This window comes from Homo sapiens, chromosome 8 (genome assembly GCF_000001405.40).
Source record: "Homo sapiens chromosome 8, GRCh38.p14 Primary Assembly".
Taxonomy (NCBI): domain Eukaryota; kingdom Metazoa; phylum Chordata; class Mammalia; order Primates; family Hominidae; genus Homo; species Homo sapiens.
The window spans coordinates 66,815,779-66,840,686 of NC_000008.11; the positions used below are offsets into that span (position 1 = coordinate 66,815,779).

The following is a 24,908-nucleotide window of genomic DNA, read 5'->3' on the forward strand; positions in this document are numbered from 1 at the left end:
ATGTGCAGTATTATAAAGATGTTATATTTGGCATTAAAATTAAACTAAAAGCAATTGGATTATTTTAAATTGCCAGTTTCCAAAATCTTATACTGTGAAATACACAGTTCTTGAGTGTACAATTCAATGGATTTTTAAATATATATACACCCTGTAACCATCACCATTCCATTCATGATAGAAGATATTTCCAGCACCCCAAAAATAGTCAAGAGTTTTTTAAACTTAATTTTTTTTTTGAGACGGAGTCTCACTGTGTCGCCCAGGCTGGAATGCAGTGGTGTGATCTCAGCTCACTGCAAGCTCTGCCTCCTGGGTTCATGCCAGTCTCCTGCCTCAGCCTCCCCAGTAGCTGGGACTACAGGGGCGCACCACCACGCCCACCTAATTTTTTTTTGTATTTTTAGTAGAGACGGGGTTTCACCATGTTAGCCAGGATGGTCTTCATCTACTGACCTCATGATCTGCCCGCCTTGGCCTCCCAAAGTGCTGAGACTACAGGCGTGATAAACTTAATTTTTTAACTGGCATTTTCTTTTTAGCAAAATGTGACATTTCCTTTTTTTTTTTTTTTTTTTTGTGTGTGAGACGGAGTCTTGCTCTGTAGCCCAGGCTGGAGTGCAGTGGCGCAATCTCAGCTCACTGCAACCTCTGCCTCCCAGGTTCAAGTGATTCTCCTACCTCAGCCTCCCAAGTGGATGGGATTACAGGTGCGCGCCACCACGCCTGGCTAATTTTTGTATTTTTAGTAGAGACGGGATTTCACCATGTTGGTCAGGTTGGTCTCAATCTCCTGACTTCGTAATCTGCCTGCCTCGGCCTCCCAAAGTGCTGGGATTACAGGCGTGAGCCATCGCACCCGGCCAACATTTCCTATTTTCTAGATCTTTTCTGCTGTTGACAGAATTTTAATTTTCACGCTCTTCATTTGAACATCAAGCTGTTCTTAAGACAGTAGAAATTTAAGAGGGCAAGAAGAGAAGCCAGTCAGCAAGTGTATCTTGAGCACCTCCTATATACCTGTTATTACTGTTAAGGAAACGTACTTTATTTTTATTTTTTATGTTTTTGAGACAGACTCTCGCTCTATCGCCTAGGCTGGAGTGCAGTGGCGTGATCTCGGCTCACTGCAACCTCCGCTCCCTGGGCTCAAGCAGTTCTCTCACTTCAGCCTCCTGAGTAGCTGGGATTACAGGTGTGAGCCACTACACCCAGCTAATTTTTGTATTTTTAGTAGAGGCGGGGTTTCATCAATGGGCCAGGCTGGGTTGGAACTCCTGACCTCAGATGATCTGCCTCCCAAAGTGCTGGGATTACAGGCATGAGCCACCGTGCCCAGCAGGAAATGTGCTTTTAAAATAGCTTTTCTTCTGGCCAGGCACAGTGGCTCACGCCTGTAATCTCAACACTTTGGGAGGCCGAGGCAGGCGGATCATGAGGTCAAGAGATGGAGACCATCCTGGCCAATATGGTGAAACTCCATCTCTACTAAAAATACAAAAATTAACCAGGCATGGTGGCCTGTGCCTGTGGTCCCAGCTACTTGGGAGGCTGAGGTAGGAGAATCGCCTGAACCTGGGAGGCAGAGGTTGCAGTGAGCCAAGATCGTGCCACTGCACTCCAGCCTGGCGACAGAGTGAGACTCCATCTCAAAAAAAAAACAAAAAAACAAACGGAGTTTCACCTGCCTCAGCCTCCCGGGTAGCTGGGACCACAGGTGTGTGCCACCACACCTGGCTAATTTTTGTATTTTTAATGAAGACAGGGTTTCCTCATGTTAGCCAGGCTGGTTTCAAACTCCTGACCTCAAGTTATCTCCCCCCTCGGCCTCCTGAAGTGCTGGGATTGTAGGTGTGAGCCACCACGCCCAGCCAAAAAAGCTAATTTTTAAGATTACTTTATTAAAAACAAATTTTAAAATCATTTTCAAACTATAATAAAATGTTAGTATTTCTCTCATCTCTGGATGAAAAAGGGTTTTCTGAGCATATTGTCAGTGAATGACATTATCACAAAGTAAAACAATGAAAAATTTGACTAATAAAAACTTTGTGCACGGTGGCTCATGCCTTTACTCCCAGCACTTTGGGAGGCTAAGGCAGGCAGATCACTTGAGCCCAGGAGTTCAAGACCAGCCTGTGCAGCATGGCAAAACCCCCTCTCCAGAAAAAAAAGGCAAAAAATCAGCCTGTCATGGTGGCATGTGCCGGTAGTCCCAACTGCTCAGGAGGCTGAGGTAGTGAGGTAGGAGAATCACCCGAGCCCAGGAGATCCAGGCTACAGTGAGCTGTGATTATCCCACTGCAGTCCAACCTGGGTGGCAGAGTGAGACCCATCTCTAAAACAGCAAAAGCAAAAAAACAAAGCAAAACTTTTGAACCCCCAAATCATAAGTAAGTAAAATTGAAAACCAAAAATATAGAAAAAGCTTTCCATGATAAAGGACGATAGATAAATACATTTAACATAGAAGGAACCCATGCAAACACTTGACACACCAAAACAAAACAAAACAGAACAAAACACATTGAATGGTTCACAAAGAAGGACACAGAAATGGCTTACTGTCAGAGAAACTAAACATTTCCTTGTGTATTTAAGAAATGAAATGGAAGCAGAAATACCTTATTTTAATTTTATTGCATCATAACAAAGAGAAAAGTGCCCAGATCAGGACTGTACAGCTCAATAAATTATGAGAAATAAATGTAACTGAATTATATCATCCCCTTAGGCCAAAAAAGAAAATATTATGAACACCCCTGAGATCTCTTACACATCCTCTTTCAATCTCTGTTTCTTTCTTCCTTCCCAAAGGTAACTACCAGCCTGACTTTTAACAAAACAGATTAGTGTGTGCCCTGTTTTTGAACTTTATATAAATGGAATCATACAATATGTGTTATCTGTCTGGCTTATTTCCCAGCAATGTGAGAGTCATCCATGTTGTCTCATTAACTATAGTTTGCTCATTTCCATTGCTGTATAATGTTCCATTGTATGAGTATACCACAGTTGATGCATTCTACTGTTGATGGGCATTTCAGATACTAATATTTCTATTTTCTGACTATTATAAATAATATTGCCATTAGCATACCTTTTGGTGCACATGTGCCAACATTTCTGATATATCTTGGAGTAGAACTTGTGGGTTGTAGAGTATATGTATGTGTTTAACTTTAGTGGATAATGCAAAATAGTTGTGCAAAGTGATTTACCAGTTGTACACTTTCCATCAGCATGTGAAATCACGTTGCTTACCTCATTAACACTTAGTATTGTTAGTCTTCCATTTTAGCCATTCTGGTGAGTGGGTAATGGTATCTTACTGTTGCTTTAATTTTGCATTTCACTTATTACTGTAAGCAATACTGAGTACTTCCTCTTTAAAATACAGTTTTTCACATCAAATTATCCAAGATGTTAATATAAAATGTAACATTTAATGCTAACCAAGCCTGAGAGTCTTCAGGATGTTCATATACTGCTAGAAGAGTATAAATTGGTACAGCTGCTCTGGAAATCAGTCTTACAAACTGTATTTGTTTAATACTGTAAAATGGTTTATAATTCAGACGAGTAATTTTATTTTTAAAAATCTGTTCTGAAAGTTGTAGAGTTCTAATACTATGCACAAAGATTGTCAACTGCAGCATTGTTTATGGTAATGAAAAGTTGGAAGTCATACCCTCAAGTGGAAGAATCATTGAGTAATTTTTAGTACATTCATGTTATATATCATGTATCTATCAAAAGTGATTGTTTACAAAGTTTTTAACAAGATGGGGAAATGTTTATTATGTAATTTTAAAGTGAAAATTTAAATATATTGTGATCTTAAATGTGCAGAGAAAAAGACTGAAATAAAATATGCCAAAATGTTAACAGTGGTTGCTTCCATGTGGTAAGATTGAAAATCCCCACCCCTACATTTTATAAACCTTTTTTATTAAGTTAAAAATTCACCATTTTAATTATTCTAAAGCATACAATTCAGTAGTTTTTGTTTTTTTTGTTTTTGTTTTTGTTTTTTGTTTTTTGGTTTTTTTTTTTGGAGACAGAGTTTTGCTCTGTCACCCAGGCTGGAGTGCAATGGCACCATCTTGGCTCACAGCAGACTCCGCCTCCTGGGTTCAAGAGATTCTCCTGCCTCAGCCTCCTGAGTAGCTGGGACTACAGGTGCGTGCCACCACATCCGGCTAACTTTTGTATTTTTAGTAGAGACAAGATTTCACTATGTTGGCCAGGCTGGTCTTGAACTCCTTACCTCATGATCCACCCGCCTCAGCTTCCCAAAGTGCTGGCATTACAGGTGTGAGCCACTGCACCCAGCCCAGTAGTTTTTAGTGTATTCACGATGCTTTACAACCATCATCACTAATTCTATCACCCCAAAGCTAATCTAACATTTTCATCACCTTAAAAAGAAACTTTACCTCCAAATTATCTCCTCCCCCAGCCCTTGGCAACCACTATTCTACTTTCTGTCTGTACAGATTTGCCTATTAAAATGAAATTATATACTAGGTGACTTTTTTTTTGCCTTTGTTCATTTAGCATAATATTTATGAGCTTCATTCACGTTATAGCATGTGTTAGTGCTCTTCGTTCCTTTTTATGGCTAATATCACATTGTATGGATAACACCACATTTTGTTTATCCATTCATCTATTGGTGGACATTTGGGATATTTCCACTTTTTGGCTATTATGAATAATGCTGCTATGAGAAATCATGAATGAGTTTTTATGTGAACATATGTTTTTATTTCTCTTGGGTCTTTGCCTAGGTTTGGAATTGCAGGGTCATAAGGTAACTCTGTGTTTAACTTTTCAAGGAACTGCCAAACTGTTTTCCACAGTGGCTGTACCATTTTACATTTACACCAGTCCAATTCTTTTTATTTTTATTTTTTTCCTATTTTGTTTATTTATTTTTAGAGACAAGTTGTTGCTTTGTCACCCATGCTAGAATGCAGGGGTGCAATCTTGGTTCACTGCAGCCTCAGCCTCCTGGGCTCTAGTGATTCCCCTGCCTCAGCGTTCTGAGTAGCTAGGATGACAGGTGCACACCATCATGCCTGGGGTTTTTTATTTTATTTTTTGTGGAGACAGAGTCTTGCTATGTTGCCCAGGCTGGTATCTAACTCCTGGCCTCAAATTATCCTTCCGCTTCAGCCTCACAGAGCATTGGGATTACAGGCATGAGCCACCACTCCTGGCTAAGGCCTCCTCTTTTTAAAAATAATTTTTCATCTTTTGAGTTTCCTGGAAATAATCAAATATTATTTGATTAAATAATTAAGGACAGATTGGGGAGAGGGTGCCGGGTATGGAGATTTAATTATTCCCCACAGTCGTCATGAGTCCATCTGTGGGCCATCTCTAATTTTAGTCCGTTTTTTTCTCTTCATCCTTCTTCTTCATAGCCATTTCCTCATCCCCCTTGTTGATACCCACTTTAATGTGTTTGATATATGTCCTTATATGTCTGTGTATCTTTGGTAAACAGACTGATGCTTTATGTCTATGAGTATTTTATATATATATATAAAAATGATACTGTGTTATAGTTTCTTGCTTCTCGCTGTTGACTGGTATTCCCTATAGGCAGTTACCATAGTTGACTTACTCATTTCCCTGGTGGTAAATGTCTATTTTGCTTCTAACTTACTGTTACAGAAAATGCTGCAATGAACATTATAATTACATGCCTTTCACTGGACCTGCACATAATTTTTTTTTTTTTGAGACAGAGTCTCGCTCTGTCACCCAGGCTGGAGTGCAGTGGCACAATCTCGGCTCACTGCAAGCTCCGCCTCCCGGGCTCACACCATTCTCCTGCCTCAGCCTCCCCAGTAGCTGGGACTACAGGTGTCCGCCACCACGCCCGGCTATTTTTTTTTTTTTTTTTTTTGTATTTTTACTGGAGACGGGGTTTCACCATGTTAGCCAGGATGGTCTCGATCTCCTGACCTCGTGATCCGCCCGCCTCTGCTTCCCAAAGTGCTGGGATTACAGGCGTGAGCCACTGTGCCTGGCCAGCAGCACATAATTTTTTCTATGGTTTACCCCAAAAATTAGAATTTCTGGGCCCAGGGAAAATACATACACAGTTTTACCAAGTATTGCCAGATTGCTTTTCAGAAAAGTTGCTTCATTCTGAATTGTCACCAACAATATTTGAACATTTCTCTTTCCCTATTTTTTTTTTTTTTACCAACTTTTGGTATTATCTGTCTTTCTAACTTTTGCCAGGTAACGGACATAACGTGATATCTCATTATCATTTTAACTTATATTTCTCTGATTATTAGTGAAGTTAGCCATCTTCACAAATTTGCTGCCATTTGGGTTTTCTTTTCCATGAACTGCCTGTTTATATGTTTGCCCATTTGTCTATTGGTTTCTCTATTAAAAAAAAAATTAATTTGCGTATTACATTTATAATAATGAATATTAATGGATTCTGTTTTACTTTCTTACTGTAAATACTAATATAGTTATTTCTATTTTGATTTTCATTTTAAAAGGGAGAAAGGCTGTAGAAATGCTTTTGAAGTTATAATAAAGTTAATTTTTGTTTTTAGTCCAGATGTCAGAGCATTCCTTCAAATGGACAGTCCAAAACACCAGTCAGATCCATCTGAAGATGAGGATGAAAGAAGTTCTCAGAAGGTAGTAAGAGGAATTGCCTTTCTTAATAGAAAAAATACTATTCCAAAGGTGAAATTAGTGGCTTTAGGACACTTACTTCAAATGAAGTAATTTCATCCATAGTAGAGTTTCTACTATGTAGAACACATAAAAACAAATGCATATACCTCTTACAGATCACTATTTCTTTTTTCTTTTGAGATGGAGTCTCACTCTGTCACCCAGGCTGGAGTGCAGTGGCATGATCTCAGCTCACTGCAACCTCCACCTCCCAGGTTCAAGCGATTCTCCTGCCTCAGCCTCCCCAGTAGCTGGGATTACAGGCGCCTGCCACCATGCCTGGCTAATTTTTGCATTTTTTCAGTAGAGATGGGATTTCACCATGTTGGTCAGGCTGGTTTCAAACTCCTGACCTCAAATGATCCACCTGCCTCAGCCTCTCAGAATGCTGGGATTACAGGCATGAACCACTGTGCCCAGGCCACAGATCACTATTTCTTATAAAACCTATAGAATGAGTACTTTTTTACTAAAAAGTAATATAGGTTAATCAGACAAATTTGAAAATAGGTAAAAAGAAAAGTATTATCCATATTATTGCACCCACACCTAAAAATTTTTAACATCCTGGTGATTTTCTTTCCAATCTTCTCTAATGTATAGGGTTTTAAAATTACTTAATTTTAATTATGCAGTGTATACAGTTTTATATTCTGCTTTCTTCACTTCACATCTTATTTTATCATTATTGCCACCCTTGAAACTATGTTGAATTTTGGCCAACAGAAGAGGCCTTCTTGACCACATTACATCCCACTTACTCTGCATTGTCAGGATTTTATATACAGAACAGTCAATACATACATGCCAGTTGGCATCAACTAACTTTTATTTCTGTGATATATGTACATAATTAATGTGTGTTCCTAACAGAGAATAGGGTAGCCTTGTTTTTTTTTTTTTTTGTTAATTTTTTTTGAGATGGAGTCTCGCACTGTTGCCTAGGCCAGAGTCAGTGGCGTGATCTTGGCTCACTGCAAGCTGTGCCTCCCAGGTTCAAGTGATTCTCCTGCCTCAGCCTCCCTAGTAGCTGGGGCTACAGGTGCCTGCCACCACGCCCGGCTAATTTTTGTATTTTTAGTAGAGATGGAGTTTCACCATATTTGCCAGGCTGCTCTCAAACTCCTAACCTTGTGATCCTCCTGCCTCGGCCTCCCAAAGTGCTGGGATTACAAGCATGAGCTGCTGTGCCTGACCAGTGTTGTTTTTTAAACTAGATGTGATAGCAATAAGTAAAATAAGCTTGTGTCTTATTATGAAGATGTTTTCAACATTTACCATTCGAAGGTTATGTGGGAGAAGTAAATTGTAATAATTTAACTGTAAGTATTATTATGTAGCAATTAAATTATTATAAATGTTATATAACTATATCTACATAATTTAAACTTTTAAACAACTATTATTAAATATATGCATGAAAATCAGAGATGATGGGTTGAAATACAGTTTTTCTTTATAATGCCTTTTAATTTTGTTATGGTTCTGTTTTTGTGATTTAAAAGATAATATGGTGCATTGGAATATTACTGTCCTAGAGCTAAAACCTTCATTTTGAAAAAAGACATATTCCTTTTTTGTGACTACTGGAAAGTAGTAATTTTCCTTCTCCAATACCCCAAGAAGATTCTCAGTTAAGAGAACAAATGTTACTTTTACATCTGTGACATGGTTGCTCCTAGGACAATGTAAAAAGCTTTAAAAAAAATCTCTGTAGCTGGTCAAAAGAGAAACAACAAACTGGGAAAAGATTTGTAACAAATAAGGCATAAGAAGAAATAACGTCTGTGTGAAAAGCCCATACAAATGGGTTTTTGAAAAGAATGATACTTAACACCATAGTAGATAAAAGGAAATGGGGCATGAAGGAATACTCTTAGTAAAAAAACATAGAGGAAAATGTTGAACGTTGATGCTATTAGCAAATGAAAATCTTAGAGATTTTTATTGCTCTACCAAATTAAAAAAAAATGTACAGTAAAATATTGCAGAACTGATAACAGTAAGGTAAAACAAGCACCCTTGGTCATCATTGGTGTCATAATTTTATGCAACTCTTTTGGAAAGCAATTCAGCAGTACATATCAAATATAAAAATATTCACATCAGGAATTGATGCAAATGGAATAATCCACACAGAAAAAAGCAAAAGATGTTCATTTCAGTATGATCTGTTAAAAACAATATTAGACTCAACCTAAATATTGACCAGTCACTTAGTGTTTGTCCATATATGTTATACATTTTAAATTATTTTTCAAGATCAGATGTTAAGCTTTGACACATCAAATGAAATCAGTATTTAAAACATATGCATATTCACACAGTATGATTTACAGTCAGTTTTTTAAAAAGATATGCAAATACTATATGAAAGTAGTGTAAATATTTGCAAAATTATATATTGGTAAGGTTATGGATTTTAAAAAACCTTTTTCCTAATACTTTTGACATTTTCCAACTATTAGTATTTTTAATTGAAAAATGAATGATTTCAAGTAATGTTTTTAAAATCTATGTAACCATGATTTTCCATGTTTTGCTTGCTACTCATGTGAGACTAGGTAGGTTTAGGTTATTTGAAGCCTATCTTGCCTTGCAGTGGAAGACAGCTGCAGACAACTCGAAGATAGAACCAAGCTGAGAGATTTCTGGGTTCTGCCGCTGTTGGCTTTAAATCTGAGTTTTGTTCCTTTTTTTCTTTTTTCATCCATAGTGTCTGAAACTTCCACTAGAATCCCTTGAGGTTTTAAAATACAGATAAAAAGAATCTCTTTTAAAAAAGGAAAAAGCCATACTTTGTTGTATAATTGTAACTACTTATTAAGGACTTTTTTTTTTTTTTTTTTTGAGACAGTCTCGCTCCGTCGCCCAGGCTGGAGTGCAGTGGCATGATCTTGGCTCACTGCAAGCTCCGCCTCCCAGGTTCATTCCATTCTCCTGCCTCAGCCTCCCGAGGAGCTGGGACTACAGACACCCACTACCATGCCCGGCTAATTTTTTGTATTTTTTAGTAGAGACGGGGTTTCACTGTATTAACCAGGATGGTCTCCATCTCCTGACCTCCTAGAGTGCTGGGATTACCGGCATGAGCCACCTCGTCTGGCCTATTAAGGACTTTTAAGTGAATAACTAAGTGAAGTTCCTAGCTGGAATATTTTAGAGGGCATCTGGACCTACTCCCTTATTTACACAGAGAAAAATAGAGGCCAAGGGAAGTCAAGAAACTTAAATGATCTCAATTAGTATTCATTCTGTTAATAAATTATACCTCACCCTCAATTTAGTGACTAGATGTTGTCTTCAAAAATAGTAAGTACAATTGTCTAATTCGATATCCTAATACTTTTCATCATTTCAGAAATGTGCTCCATTAGGGGAATCCTTGCCTAAATAATAAAATCTAATTACATATTAACATACTTCAGGGGACAAGTTGTTCATGTTGTTTAATCTGCACTATATTTAATCCTCTTCCTTCATCTTTTTTTTTTGAGATGGAATCTCTCTGTTGCCCATGCTGGAATGCAATGGCTCAATCTCGGCTCACTGCAACCTCCCCCTCCTGGTTTCAAGTGATTCTCCTGCCTCAGCCTCCCAAGTAGCTGGGACTACAGGCGCACGCCACCACGCCAAGCTAATTTTTGTATTTTTAGTAGAGACGGGGTTTCACCATATTGGCCAGGCTGGTCTCGAACTCTTGACCTCGTGATCCACCCGCCTCGGCCTCCCAAAGTGCTGGGATTACAGGTGTGAGCCACCACGCCTGGCCTTCCTTCATCTTTATAAGAAAAATTTATTGAATGGAAAATTAAACCAGTTATCTGCACATTCATTAACAGAAGAAGTGTATTGAAATTACAACTCAGTTTGAATTACATTGTAAGAGTCTAAGGAACACTGAAATATTTTTTTCTTCCGTTTTTATTATGATTTGTTTTGATTATTTTGTAGCAGTTACTTAGTAGAAAGGAACACTGTAATATTTAAACATTAAAGGCAACTCTTAGTTAAAACTATGCCGCAACAGGACTAATCTCATTTAATGAATTTTTTATGTATAGGTATAACAACAGGAAATAAATTTGAATTGTAACTACAACACTGGTGCCAATGTTGTTTTTTCATGAGAAACTTCTTTATTTTATTTTATTTTATTTTATTTTGAGACAGTCTCATTTTGTCACCCACGGTGGAATGCAGTGCCGCTATCTCAGCTCACTGCAACCTCTGCCTCATGAGTTCAAGGGATTTTCCTGCCTCGGCCTTTCGAGTAGCTGGGATTACAGGTGCCCATCACCACACCCAGCTAATTTTTGTATTTTTGGTAGAGATGGGGTTTCACCATGTTGGCCAGGCTGATCTCGAACTCCTGACCTCAGATGATCCACTCGCCTTGGCCTCCCAAAGTGCTGGGATTACAGCCGTGAGCCACCACTCCCGTTCAGAAACTTCTTAAGAACTTTTGAAGGATGAGATGATTTGCCCTTTATTTTAAAAAATAGTTTATATTCTAGATATTACAAATTTGAAATGAATTTAAGTAAAAATAAATACTACATATGTCTATAATAAGAAGTTTGATAAGATAAAATTTTCTTGGCCTGGTGCGGTGGCTCACGCCTGTAATCCCGCCACTTTGGGAGGCTAAGGTGGGTGGATCATCTGAGGTCAGGAGTTCAAGACCAGCCTGGTCAACATGGCGAAACCCTATATCTACTAAAAATACAAAAATTAACCGGGCATGGTGGCGTATGCCTGTAATCCCAGCTACTCGGGAGGCTGAGGCAGGAGAATCGTTTGAACCAAGGAGGTGGAGGTTGCAGTGAGCCAAGATCATGCCACTGCACTCCATCCAGCCTGGGCAACAAGAGTGAAACTCTATCTCAAAAAAAAAAAAAAAAAAAAAAGTATTGGTTCTGATTAGAGAAGTTTTTAAAAGCTTTTTTATATTTATAGCTTATATGAAGTATAATTATATATTATATAGAACACTAGTAAAAGTATACATATTTGAAACATTTATAACTGATTTAATTATCTGAATGTATAAAGAGGTTTAAAGTTCATTTATGTGAAGCAGAATTTACTGACACGTGGCTTTTATAAAAAATGATCACTGATAGGATTACTAGATTAATCTGGGATTTTTGAGTTAAAATTAGAGCTAATTATTAATGAACTAGAATCTTTTATTACTTAAATTTCTTCATAGCATACTAGGTAAATAAAGATTTGCTTCTAAATTAATACCAGGGCTTAAGCTTACTGTGTTAACTGTTGCAAAGAGAAAAGCCTGTATAAAATGTTGGCACTACCACAGTGCTAGAATTAGAAAGAAAAGGCTGAGCACGGTGGCTCACAACTGTAATCCCAGCACTTTGGGAGGCTAAGGCAGGCAGATCACGAAGTCAGGAGATCGAGACCATCCTGGCTAACACTGTGAAACCCCGTCTCTACTAAAAATACAAAAAAATTAGCCGGGTGTGGTGGTGGGCACCTGTAGTTCCAGCTATTCGGGAGGCTGAGACAGGAGAATGACGTGAAGCGGGGAGGCGGAGCTTGCAGTGAGCCGAGATCACGCCACAGCACTCCAGCCTGGGCGACAGAGGGAGACTCCGTCTCAGAAAAAAAAAAAAGAAAGAAAGAAAAGAAAAACACTGCTGTCTATGTTTGCTTTGTCTGTATTTACCTACCATCAAATTAAAATTGAAAACCCAGCATTTGCAATCATCATTGTCATCATCCTATCATTTCTGTCTTTGATAAACTGTTTGAAAACTTGAAAAACAAAAAGCCATTTTTAACCAGTTTTTTAGAAAGTGATCCCTCTTAAATTGCAGTTGCAATACCCACCTCCTCAAAGGAGCTTTCCTCAGTTTATTTCATTTATTTGCCAACTTAGAGCTTGATTTCTGGCTTACCTTTTTTCTTACAACAGTTCTTGAAAACTACCATGAGAAAAATGATTATGTTTTTGTCTATGTGTATTTCCAAGTAAGTCTATACCCTTACTGAGAATCAGGACTTTGGGTTTCTTTAACATGGCAACAAACCAAATATTTGTGGTACAGTTATAAATACTTTATTTCAAAACATTAATTAATTTTTGAAGCTCCAATAAGAATGTTGTTTTTCTTTCCCCACCTTCACAGCTACACTCTACCTCACAGAACATCAACCTGGGACCGTCTGGAAATCCTCAGTATGTTTAATTTGCTTCAAACAATTTTTTAACTGAATTTTAGGAAGATCTTTTTTGAGCGTATGCAGATATGTATAATTACACTAATTTAACTGTAGGCCTTTGAAATATAACCATAGTTACAGTGAATACAGTGCTGTCATATGCTTGTATGCTCCAGCTTTTCACTGCTTTAGGATAGCCCTGAGGAATTTTTAATCCACAGATTGTTAATTGGGTTCTGCTATTTTGTCATTGTCACTTTTCTGGGTGGGTGGGTGGGGGGTGTGTGTGTGTGTGTGTGTGTGTGTGTGTGTCTAAAATCAGTAGACCATATTTCCCAAGGGACCACAAGTCCTATGAGGTCCTCTGAAAAAAAGCACCCTTGCAGGCCTAATTGACATTCTGCTGGTGTTTGGTGTGATTGGTGCACCCCTGTTGTTAGCCAGCTTCTTCCAGAGGAGTCATAATGGACATTAGCATATTAAAGGCTATTAAACTTTGTTTACCGAGTTTCTCCCCATATTCCCAGGCTAATTGATTAGTAATGTCTGCCATGGATTGGAGGAGGAATGTGGTCTTGCTGCCCTTACTTGTAATTATCCTTACAGGCGTATTACATTTACTCTGAAGTGTTTTTTTATTCTAGGCTTTCCCTACCCTTTCCCTACCCTTTTGCTCTACTTGGAGAATGATTATAGGCAGATGGGAGAAGTGGTCCAAGGACTGCGTCCTGGTACACTTCAACATTATGAGATCAGGAAAGAACTGCTAACAGAGACTGAGAAAGAGACAGTAAGATAAGAGAAAAACCAGGAATATGGTTTCCTGAAGTCAGGGGAAGAGTGCCTAAAAGAGGAGGGAGTAATTATCTCTGTTAATGTTGCTGATAGGGCAAGTAAGATGAAGATTGAAAATTGACCACTGGATTTCATGAAGTCATTGGTGACTTTTAATGAGCAGTTTCAATGGTGTGGTGGTTGATATAAGACCCTGATCAGAAAGGGTTCACAAGAGAACTAGAGGAGAGGACAGCGGGTAGAGACAACGAGTTTACAAAACTTACTTGAAGAGTTTTTGCTTCAAAGGAAAGCAAATAAATACGATGCTAACTGGAAGTTTGGTTTTAAGCATTCTTTTCTGTTGTTCATAGCATTGAACAAAAATGGCAGCACAAAAAATGGATTTTTTTTTTTTTTTTTTTTATTGAGACAGAGTCTCGCTCTGTCGCCTAGGCGGGAGTCCAGTGGTGCAATCTCCACTCACCGCAGCCTCTGCCTCCCAGGTTCTCCCTCCTGAGCCTTCTGAGTACCTGGGATTACAGGCAGCCACCATCATGCCCAGCTAATTTTTGTAGAGACAGGGTTTCACCATGTTGGGCAGGCTGGTCTTGGAACTCCTGATCTCAGGTGATCTGCTTGCCTCAGTCTCCCAAAGTGCTGGGATTACAGGCATGAGCCACTGTGCCTGGCCAAAAATGGAAATTTGCCTGAAGTTAAGGTTCATCTCCAGCAGTTAACAGTGAGGCTTGGAGTATGGCCTCAGCTCGCCTATTTACTGTTTGAGGGACCTGCATGCTTTTCACTGTTAGATTTGTTTACAAAGTTATTTCAGTACCTCTGCATATCTTTAAAGAAGAAAATAGTTCAAAGAGCAGGTTTTTGAAGAAGAAAAACATCTAAATATAGTTAAGTGTTTATCTCACTAGTCTTTACCTGTCATTATTTAACCTAGTTCTGGTTTTACTCTCATGTTTGAATTAACGATTTTTTGATGATTAAGCAAATTTCAAATCTAAATGGATTTATTCCCCTCTTCCCATACAACTTATGAATTCAGACCATGTTGGAGGAAACGGCTCTTTTGGCTGCTTAAGCTCCCCTTTCTGCTGCCGTGTGTTTTTGTCTACATAACAGCCAATGCTGTTTTTACCTGATAGGTTAAGTTAACATAAATAAAAGGGCAGTCTTGCTTTTCTCTTCCTGGTTTTCCTATATTACCGTTCATGAGAATAAGCTGAGAAGTATTTTATCTTTAATGTACAATAAGTGGTTTATATGAAACACTGTAATGACTTTTTTCTCCATCAGAAATTATTCTTAGCGTCTTTACTAGGTGATCCAACTAGCAGCTTCATTTTCAGAAGAATTACCACGTTATATAGTCCTTAGAATGTATCACTTATTTATATAGTTATTTAATTTCCTCAACAACATTGGACCATGATTAATAAAATTGGTTTAGATAGAAGCTATTTCAAGTTCAAAACTCTACATATAGGATATGCATATATCCTTTTCTCCCAAAGAGAGTATTATTGAAGTTCCTCTTAAGCAGAACTTAATGAGGCTTAAAGTTATGAAATGTTTTATCTGATCAGAAAGTAGATATTACTATACATATTACCTACTGTGCATGAAAGATGAAGTACTCAGCAGGAAAGCTAGAGTTAATAGGCTGAAGTGTTTTGTGCCTAACATTTATTTTTTAAAGAGGGAGGTGCTAAGAAATGTTTAAAAGTTAATATTTCCAATTTCTAGGAGGCTAATTCTTATTGTTAATTTATTTCAGTGCCAAACCAACTGACTTTGATTTCTTAAAAGTTATTGGAAAAGGCAGCTTTGGCAAGGTAAGAGTGTTTTGTGAGGTTTTTATTTGGTTTTGGTTTTGGTTTTTTTTTTGGAGACAGGGTCTCACTCTGTTGTCCAGGCTGGAGTGTAGTGGTGCAGTCATAGCACACTTGAACTCCTGGGCTCAAGCCATCCTCCCACCTCAGCCTCCCGAGTAGCTGGGACTATAGGCACACACCAGCATGCCTGGCTAATTTTTTCACTCTTTTGTAGACAGGGCCTTGCTCTCTTGCCCAGGCTGGTCTCAAATTTCTTTCCTCAAGTGATCCTCCCACCTTGGCCTCCCAAAGTGCTGGGATTACAGATGTGAGTCACCATCCCCAGCCTAAAGTGTTTTTATTTTCTCATTCAGTAAATAAGTACTTAAGGAATTTATGCTTTATGTGTGTGAGCCACAGGACTTTTTGGTTTCAGGATATGGAATTAAGATACTTTCCCCACCCTCAAAATACTAACAATAATTAGGGAGAAAAGGCATCTACTCAAATTCTATAATAAAGTTCACTTATTCAGAAGGTGTTTGTTGAACACCTACTGTGTGCCAGATACCCTTCTGGGCCCTGGTTAGAAAAATTATGGAAATTGACATGGTTACTACCTTTGTGGTGCTTACAATCTCGGTGGGGGGATAGTCAATTTAAAATATTCAGTCAAGTAAATAAGTACAAATAATAACAGCAGTGCAGGAAATGAAGAATAGGGTGAAATGACAAAGGACAATAGGCAGCTGAGGGAAGATTCCCACTTACATAGCTTCTCAGAAGACATGCTGTTTAAGCCAAAGCTGGAAAGACAAAAATGAGCAGCTGTGTAAATAACAGTTTGAGAAGGAAACGAATGTGTAAAGACCCTGCTTATTTTCTTATGGTGTCAGATGAATCATGTAACTTGACAGTATAGCCATACCAAGGAAGGAGAATCACTTAAGGCCAGGGTTAACAGGAAAGTATCATAGATGAAGTTATCAGAATCATCGAATATATTTAAGTGCTTTTTTTACAGTGTACTTCAGTCTTTAGTAAAAATGGAATATGTATGTGTTTAATCATATTTTGCTATATTTGTAGCTTTTGGTAACTCTAGTTTGTTTTCTGGGTTTCCTTGAGACTAGAAACTGTGGCTATGCAATTAAACCCATGTATGTTTATTCACTCAGCAAATATATATTATCCACCTGCTACATGCTGAGTATTGTGCTAGTATAAGCAATAGAAAGTTAGAAATTAATCCTGCTCTCAAAATCCCCAAAATTCTATTGGAATGCTTGACATAGTTGTCATTAAGAACAAAAGCATTATCTGTCATTAAAAACAAAAGCATTGTGGCACATACCTGTAATCCCAGCTACTTGGGAGCCTGAGGCAGGAAGATCACTTGAGTTCAGGAGTCCAAGACCAGCCTGGGCAACATAGCAAGACCCCATCTCAAAAAAAAAAAAAGTCATTATCTTTTGGAAACTTCATGTTTAGATCTAGAGTCTTATCAGGATTTGGTTCTTGCATATAATGTGAGGCATAGCGTCACAATTCATTTTTTTCCATGTGGATAACCAGCTGATCTTATACAGTTTATGAAAACTGGTTTTTTTGTTTGTTTTGTTTTTTTTTTTGCCATCTGATGGGCCACCTGATCTGCAGGGCCACCTTTATCATGTATTCACTATTTACACCTTCACAGATCTGTTTTTAGAATTTTTTTTTTTTTGAAGACAGAGCCTCACTCTGTTCCCAGCCTGGAGTGCAGAGTGCAATGGTGGGATCTCCGCTCACTGCAACCTCTGCATCCCAGCTTCAAGCAATTCTCCTGCCTCAGCCTTCCGAGTAGCTGGGATTTCAGGCACACGCCACCGTGTCTGGCTAATTTTTGTATTTTTAGTGGGGACGGGGTTTTACCATGTTGGCCAGGCTGGTCTTGAACTCCTGACCTCAAGTGATCTGCCTGCCTCGGCCTCCCAAAGTGCTGGGATTACAGGCATGAGCCACTGTGCCCACCCTCTTTTTAGATTTTAAGTTTTGTGTTTCTGTTTCTACATTGCATTTCTGTTCATTTTCTGTTCATTGGCCTATCTGTTTATCCTGACACCAGTACCACATTGTTGTGACACCTGTAGCTTGATATCTAACAGAATTAAGTCCTCCCTTCTTCTTCAAGAGACTATTCTTAGCCCTTTGCATATCAATATAAATAAATTTCAGAATCAACATATCAATTTCTGCAGAAATTCTATTTGAATTTGATTGGGATGGCATTGACTCTGTAGATCAATTTGGGAAGAATTATCATCTTTACAATATTGTGTTGTCAAATCCGTGACCATGGTATATTACTTTGTTAATGTAGCTCATCTTTAATTTTTCCCAATACTATTTTGTGGTATTCTGTTTAGAATTTTTTTTGAGATGGAGTTTCACTTTTGTTGCCCAGGCTGGAGTGCGGTGGCGCAATCTCGGCTCACTGCAACCTCTGCCTCCTGGGTTCAAGCGATTCTACTGCCTCAGCCTCCCCAGTAGTTGGGATTACAGGCGTGTGCCACCACGCCCTGCTAATTTTGTATTATTAGTAGAGACAGGGTTTTTCCATGTTGGTCAGGCTGGTCTCGAACTCCCGACGTCAGATGATCCACCCACCTCAGCCTCCCAAAGTGCTGGGATTACAGGCGTGAGCCACCACACCCAGCCAGGTGTTTGGTTTTTTATGCTGTTGAAAATTGGTGTTAATTCTTGAAGCTGAATATATGCGTTACCTATGACACATTGGTTCTACTCCCTAGTTTACATATCCAACAGAAATGAATATCCACTAGGAAAGGTATATACAGGAATGTTTATAGCATCATTATTCATAAATAATCTAATCTATCAGCAAGAGAGTAGATACATTGTAGTGTGTCATATAATGGAATATTCTGCATAACAAAATATGAGAACTATGCTATATGCCACAATGTTAATGAATATTTCATATAATTTAGAGTGAAAGAATTGAGACAGACAGCTTTATCCATGTGATTCTAATTACGTGAAATTCAAAACAGGGCAAAAGTTATCTGTGTTATTTGAAGTTGACATTGTGGTAGTTAGTTACCTTTGAGAAGGAGAAGGGTGAGTCATGACTGGGATTTAGCAAAAGAGAGGCTTTAGGCTACTGGCAGGGTTTTGTTTTGTTTTGTTTTGTTTTGTTTTGTTTTTTTGAACTGCATACTGGTTACATAGGTGTATTCACTTTGTAGCAATTTATTGAGCTGTAGTGATGAGTTTTTCTGTATGTATGCTATGTTTAATAAAAAAATTTAAATCTTGCAAAATGATTAGAAACCAACAAAGTGCACTCCTGTAATCTTAGAAACCAACAAAGTGCACGCCTGTAATCTCAGCACTTTGGGAGGCCCAGACGGGTGGATCACAAGGCCAGGAAATCGAGACCGTCCTGGCTAACACAGTGAAACCCCGTCTCTACTAAAAATACAAAAAAAAATAAATTAGCCCCGTGTGGTGGTGGGCGCCTGTAGTCCCAGCTACTCGGGAGGCTGAGGCAGGAGAATGGTGTGAACCCGGGAGGCGGAGCTTGCAGTGAGCCGAGATCGCGCCACTGCACTCCAGCCTGGGCGACAGAGCAAGACTCTGTCTCAAAAAAAAAAAAAAAAAGAAACCAACAAAGTGCAGTAAAACAAAAGAAGGCTGGGTGCGGTGGCTTACGCCTGTTATCCCAGCACTTGGTGAGGTCGAGGCAGGTGGATCACTTGAGCCCAGGAGTTTGAGACCAGCCTGGATAACATGACAAAACCCCATCTCTACAAAAAATTCAAAAATTAGCCAGGTATGGTGGCACACGCCTGTAGTCCCAGCTATTTGGAAGACTGAGACAGGATGATCACCTGAGCCTTGGAGAGGTCAAGGCTGCAAGTGAGTGAACATTGCACCACTGCAAGATACTCTAGATTTCTTCAGATTCTTTAAAGCGTCTGCATGGGACCCAGCCCACTATAGAAATCCATGGCACTTTTTCTTCTGAACTCTTCTGAATTTAAAACCTGTTAAGAAAAATCTCAGTATGAAACAGTACATTTTGATTACCTAAAAAACATTTCCTTATCCTTGTTAATGTAGCCATGAAGTTTATAACAATATTTTCTACAGGCAATATTTTCTCCTGGAAGTACAGGAGACTTCCAGGATTCAGGGCTGGAGCACATGCATGCATACACACACAAACTTCTCAAGCAGTGTAGATTTGGGCACTTAAATTTAGTTTAAAAAATCTCAAATATCAACACATTAAGTGACAAAGAAAAGGTGCCTGATTACTTGATTTTTAAAACAAAAACATGATCTAGGTCCCTTATGGACTTTCTTTTTACAGAATTTAAGAAGTATTGATGTGTTGACAAGTGAATTATTTCTATCAAAATTTGAAATTTCTAATAGTATACACTAATGTTTAACTATAACAGGTTCTTCTTGCAAAACGGAAACTGGATGGAAAATTTTATGCTGTCAAAGTGTTACAGAAAAAAATAGTTCTCAACAGAAAAGAGGTAAAATAAAATAGTTGTTTCTCTCAAGCCCATTTTCTCAATTAAGAGAGCTGTTTTCTAGTGTATAATACAATTGATCTTTTGCCTTTTTTCCAGCAAAAACATATTATGGCTGAACGTAATGTGCTCTTGAAAAATGTGAAACATCCGTTTTTGGTTGGATTGCATTATTCCTTCCAAACAACTGAAAAGCTTTATTTTGTTCTGGATTTTGTTAATGGAGGGGAGGTGAGTTTTATAATGAGTTTTCTAATGTTAATAGTTTAGAAAAATAGCATAAAGTCAAAGTTTTTCTTGTAAGTTTTAGAAGGACAGTATAAAATCAGTAGCTTTTTATAGCAATAATATTCAAGGTACTGGCTGAGTACAGGATGTGGAGAATTGTAACACAGAGCTTTTAAGCATATGGTATAGTTGAGAAGGTTCATAAAAGAACCTTGATATGAAGCTGCTGGCTTCATGGACAGGTTTGTCACTAAACTGTATAGCAAGAATAACATATTGAAATATTAGAATAAAATGTGATTTGTAATTTAGGCAATTATCTCAACAGTTGCATACAAATATTACTCCAGCTTCTCAGTTTCCAAGATGTGCAAATTATTAATCAGATGAGATAATCCTCTAATAAGGGGCTCTGTGGTGGTAGCTTGGCTCAGTGACTCGCACCTTTAATCTCAGCTACTCAGGAGGCTGAGGCAGAAGGATCACTTGAGTCCAGGAGTTTGAGGCTACAGTAAGCTATGATTGCACTGCAGCCTGGGTAACAGAACGAGACCCCATCTCTTTAAAAAAAAAAAAAAGGCTTTATGATAAAGTCTGTTTTGGAAATGTTTCATGTTATATCCATTTCTTGGTGATTCACAATATGCCTCAGCATGTTAAAGACTTCGAGAAATTCTGCCTTAAACAAAGTCAGGATATCTTTTTTTTTTTTTTTTTTTTTTTGAGACAGCGTCTCACTCTGTCACCCAGGCTGGAGTGCAGTGGTCACAGCTCGCTACAGCCTCAACCTCCTCAAATTGGATATCTTAAGAGAATTTTTTAAAACCGTGCAGTCCCCTTTTTTGTTTCAACCAATCTCTTAAGTATTACACAAAACTCTGATTCAGATGGATATTGAAATACACTTTGGGAAATGCTGCTATTACAATAATTACAATAATAACTAACTTCCATTGAGTATTACTTAGTATCCATCACTCTGGCTCTTTGTACATATAATTTTACCTTCACAACAATCTATAGTAAGACTGACTGAGGCACAGAGAAGCTAGGTAGCTTGTAGAAGTAATGTGGTTAGTATCAGAGGCAGGGATTGAACTGAGGCAGCCTGATTCCAGGATCTAGGCAGCTGACCTCTCAACCCTCACACCTTTCTAATTTGTTTGGTCTTTGAACTGTGAATGTCTAAAAAATTTTTTTAACTAATAGGTATTGTCATATCTTTACAAAGGGATCTTTCATTCCCCAATCTCTGAGCAGAAAATGACTATTTCAGCATTTAACTGTAGAAGAAAGGAACTGTAAGGAAAATTAGTTAATATTCTGCAAAACCGAAAGATGGTCAGACACACCTAGATCATTTTGGGGGAAGATTGTAAAAAGAATGATTATTCACCTTTCTACATCTGTCACAAAAGTCCCTTAAGGCCAGGTGTGGTGGCTCAACACCTATGATCCCAGCAATTTGGGAGGCCGATGTGGGTGGATCACTGGAGCCCAGGAGTTCAAGACTAGCCTGGGCAACATGGCGAAACCCCATCTCTACAAAAAAAATAACAAAAATTAGCTGGGCATGGTGACATGCCTCCGTAGTCCCAGCTACTCAGGAGGCTGAGGTGGGAGGATTGTTTGAGCCCAGGAGGTTGCGGCTGCAATGAGCCATGATCACACAACTGTACTCCAGCCTGGGTGACAGAACAAGACCCTGTGTCAAAAAAAAAAATTCCCTTAAGACTCTTCAGTGTAGAGGCAAGATTATCCATCTCTCAGGCATCCTGATTCATTGATGCAGGTGACCCCACATTGTTTTCACCTTGAAGGTTGTCGTTTAATTTTGTGTGTGCCCAAGTGCTGACAGATAAAGAGAATTTATTGAGGCTTGGCACTTTGCAATTATTTTACATGCATTATGTCAGTAAATCACAACTCTTTCAGAAAACACTATTATGCCCATTTAATTTGCCATGGCATTTATATTAAATGCCATGAAATTTTCTTTCTTATTTATTTATTGAGACGGAGTCTCTCTCTGTCACCAGGCTGGAGTGCAGTGGTGCGATCTCAGCTCACTGCAACCTCCAACTCCCTGGTTCAAGCGATTCTCCTGCCTCAACCTCCCGAGTAGCTGGGATTACAGGCACGTGCCATGACGCCCAGCTAATTTTTGTATTTTTAGTAGAGACGGGGTTTCGCCATGTTGGCCAGGGTGGTCTCAAACTCCTGACCTCATGATCCACCCGCCTCAGCCTCCCAAAGTGCTGGAATTAAAGGCGTGAGCGACCGCACCTGGCTGAAATTTTCTTATTTATAAATAAGAAAATTGAGGTTCGGAGAGGTTAAATAACTGTCTCAATGTTACGGTGTTCTAGTAAGTGTCAGACCCTGCATTTAACCTAGATATCTCGACTGCAGAGCCCATTCTTAAGTGCCACCTTGTGTCTTTGAAATGTTCATGTGAAGCATCTAAGTGCAGGTGAGATACCACTGCGAGCTCCCTGCTTTATGTGTGGTTTCTTCGTGCTCTTTTAGGGCTTTGCTTCTGAGACCTTTTTGTACAGTGACTGCTCACTGGCAAAGAATGGAAGAGGAAGGCTTGTCATCTGAAAGATGCAAGATAATGAAAAAAGGAGAATAAAATACAATAGAATGCCAGGGTGGGTGGAGGAGAAGTTGAGTGGGTAATAGGTAGACAAGGGTTAAAGATGAGGAGAAAGGATAGGAGTGTGGTTTCCATACATTATTACTCTTATTTTCCCCCAGTGTTCATACTTAAAAATTTTAACTTTGACATACGAATACTTAGCTTTGTATACTACTTCATATCTTTTTTAGAGCAAAGTAGAATAAAAACAAATAAGTTTTATGACACTTGGCAGATGAGCAAGCCTCTCTGAGCCTCAGCTTCCGATTTCCTGAGTCAAAATTGTTGGCTAATGTCCACATAGGAGATATCAACATTGAGGTGGTGGTTAAAACCAACAGAATGGATAAAGTTACCTGGGAAGGGTATTTGGAGAAAAAATAACACGTGGACCAAGGGCAGAAACCCTGTCATCCCTGCATTTTCCGAGGCCAGAAAGGAGCAGAGATGGAATTCACCAAGACTCAAGGAGAGATTTTTGTCTTAGAAGCCAAGGGACCCAGTGGAAACTTCCCCCAGGCAGTAACCTTAGTTAAAGGCCAGGTTATAAGAAATAAATTAAAAATTAGGAAGTATAAGAAATGAACTAGAAAGTCCAACTGCTGTTTAGCTGCAGCCGGTTGCTGCTGCTGTGAAGTGTAGGCCTAATGGTCCAGAGCTTATCTTTTTAAAAAAAAAAACTAAAACCATGAATTTTTACCCCCAAATTCCCAGTTTTTAATGTTATCAACTAATTCAGATTTTTTGAAAAACAGTATTTGGCTCAAGTAAATTATATGTATGGAGATATATATATATATATATATATATATATATATATATATATATATATATATATATATATATTTTCATATGGGTTATATTTGTTCTGCTGGGCTCTAGTTTTTAATCTCTGAATAGTGTTTGTTTTTTTCAAATGGAAAACATAGTCCAGAAAGGCCCTGTAAGATAATTACATGGCAGTATCAAGATCGTTGATCTTCATCGATAATCTTTTCCAGAACAGTTGCCTGGAAGGGTGAGGACATTTTTGCATTAAGTAGTAAATGGGAGATGAGTGACATTAGCAAGGGTAAACAAAGACACGTGGTTGAAGAGAGAGAATGATTGTTAGGTGGGGACATGGATGAAGGGGAGTCACATTTCTGTGCCTTGTTAACATTTTTAGCTCACATTCAAAGTAACAAAGAACAATTCCTACCTTTGTATTTACCGAATATATTTGTTTAATGCTATGTGTGAATGATCCTAACATTCTCTCTCCCCCCACCCCCACAACCAATTTGACAGCTTTTTTTCCACTTACAAAGAGAACGGTCCTTTCCTGAGCACAGAGCTAGGTTTTACGCTGCTGAAATTGCTAGTGCATTGGGTTACTTACATTCCATCAAAATAGTATACAGGTACAATTTTAAAATATACTTGTAAAAATTGTATATAACAATATTTTATTTCGGTTTGTATTCAGTTTTGCGTTTCTTTCCTTTTAATTTGATAGAGACTTGAAACCAGAAAATATTCTTTTGGATTCAGTAGTAAGTATTCTCTTTTAAAAATCTACTAGTTCTCAATTTTTGTTGTTGCTTTTATGCTTAGTGCAAAAAAAGTCTCAGAGATTCTGTACTGCGTTATTTTATTTATATAACATTCTCAAAATGACAAAACGGTAGGGATGGAGAACAGATTAGTGGTTGACAGGGTCCAAGGGGATAGAGAGTGCAAAGATAAAGGGGTAGCATTAGGGAAGTTCCTTTGGTGGTGGTTACACAAATCTATACATCTGTATTGCGTAGAGCTACACACACACACAAAGCATGCATGTAAAAAGTGAAAACTGAACAAGGTTGACAGTCTGGTTAATAGTATTGTACCAATGACAATTTCCTCTGTATACTATTTTGCAATTTCATATGGATCTATAATTATGTCAAAATAAAAGGAGTTTGAAAATTGTTAATTTATTGGCCGGGTGTG

General features: G+C 38.4%; 2 protein-coding genes across 4 annotated transcripts in view, besides 1 other annotated feature; both read left to right on the forward strand.

Annotated features, from left to right (window-relative positions):
- Positions 1–24,908, forward strand: part of C8orf44-SGK3 (C8orf44-SGK3 readthrough) — a 194,427-nt gene that overhangs the window by 148,183 nt on the left and 21,336 nt on the right. The window contains exons 8-14 of the mRNA NM_001204173.2: positions 6,594–6,681; positions 12,876–12,925; positions 15,476–15,533; positions 19,985–20,068; positions 20,165–20,296; positions 24,225–24,337; positions 24,433–24,469. Of these exons, the coding sequence (NP_001191102.1) occupies positions 6,594–6,681; positions 12,876–12,925; positions 15,476–15,533; positions 19,985–20,068; positions 20,165–20,296; positions 24,225–24,337; positions 24,433–24,469 (562 nt within the window). The remainder of the gene's footprint in view (positions 1–6,593; positions 6,682–12,875; positions 12,926–15,475; positions 15,534–19,984; positions 20,069–20,164; positions 20,297–24,224; positions 24,338–24,432; positions 24,470–24,908) is intronic.
- SGK3 (serum/glucocorticoid regulated kinase family member 3) overlaps positions 1–24,908 on the forward strand; it is a 149,242-nt gene that overhangs the window by 102,998 nt on the left and 21,336 nt on the right. For all 3 annotated transcript variants that reach the window (NM_001033578.3, NM_013257.5, NM_170709.3), the window contains exons 6-12: positions 6,594–6,681; positions 12,876–12,925; positions 15,476–15,533; positions 19,985–20,068; positions 20,165–20,296; positions 24,225–24,337; positions 24,433–24,469. In NM_001033578.3, coding sequence (NP_001028750.1) covers positions 6,594–6,681; positions 12,876–12,925; positions 15,476–15,533; positions 19,985–20,068; positions 20,165–20,296; positions 24,225–24,337; positions 24,433–24,469 — 562 coding nt within the window. The remainder of the gene's footprint in view (positions 1–6,593; positions 6,682–12,875; positions 12,926–15,475; positions 15,534–19,984; positions 20,069–20,164; positions 20,297–24,224; positions 24,338–24,432; positions 24,470–24,908) is intronic.
- Positions 14,523–14,723: a silencer, noted in NCBI's record as "peak7059 fragment used in MPRA reporter construct". NCBI's record gives its function as "represses an SCP1 promoter by STARR-seq MPRAs in K562 erythroleukemia cells {active_cell/tissue: K562}" and the evidence as "EXISTENCE:reporter gene assay evidence [ECO:0000049][PMID:32103011]".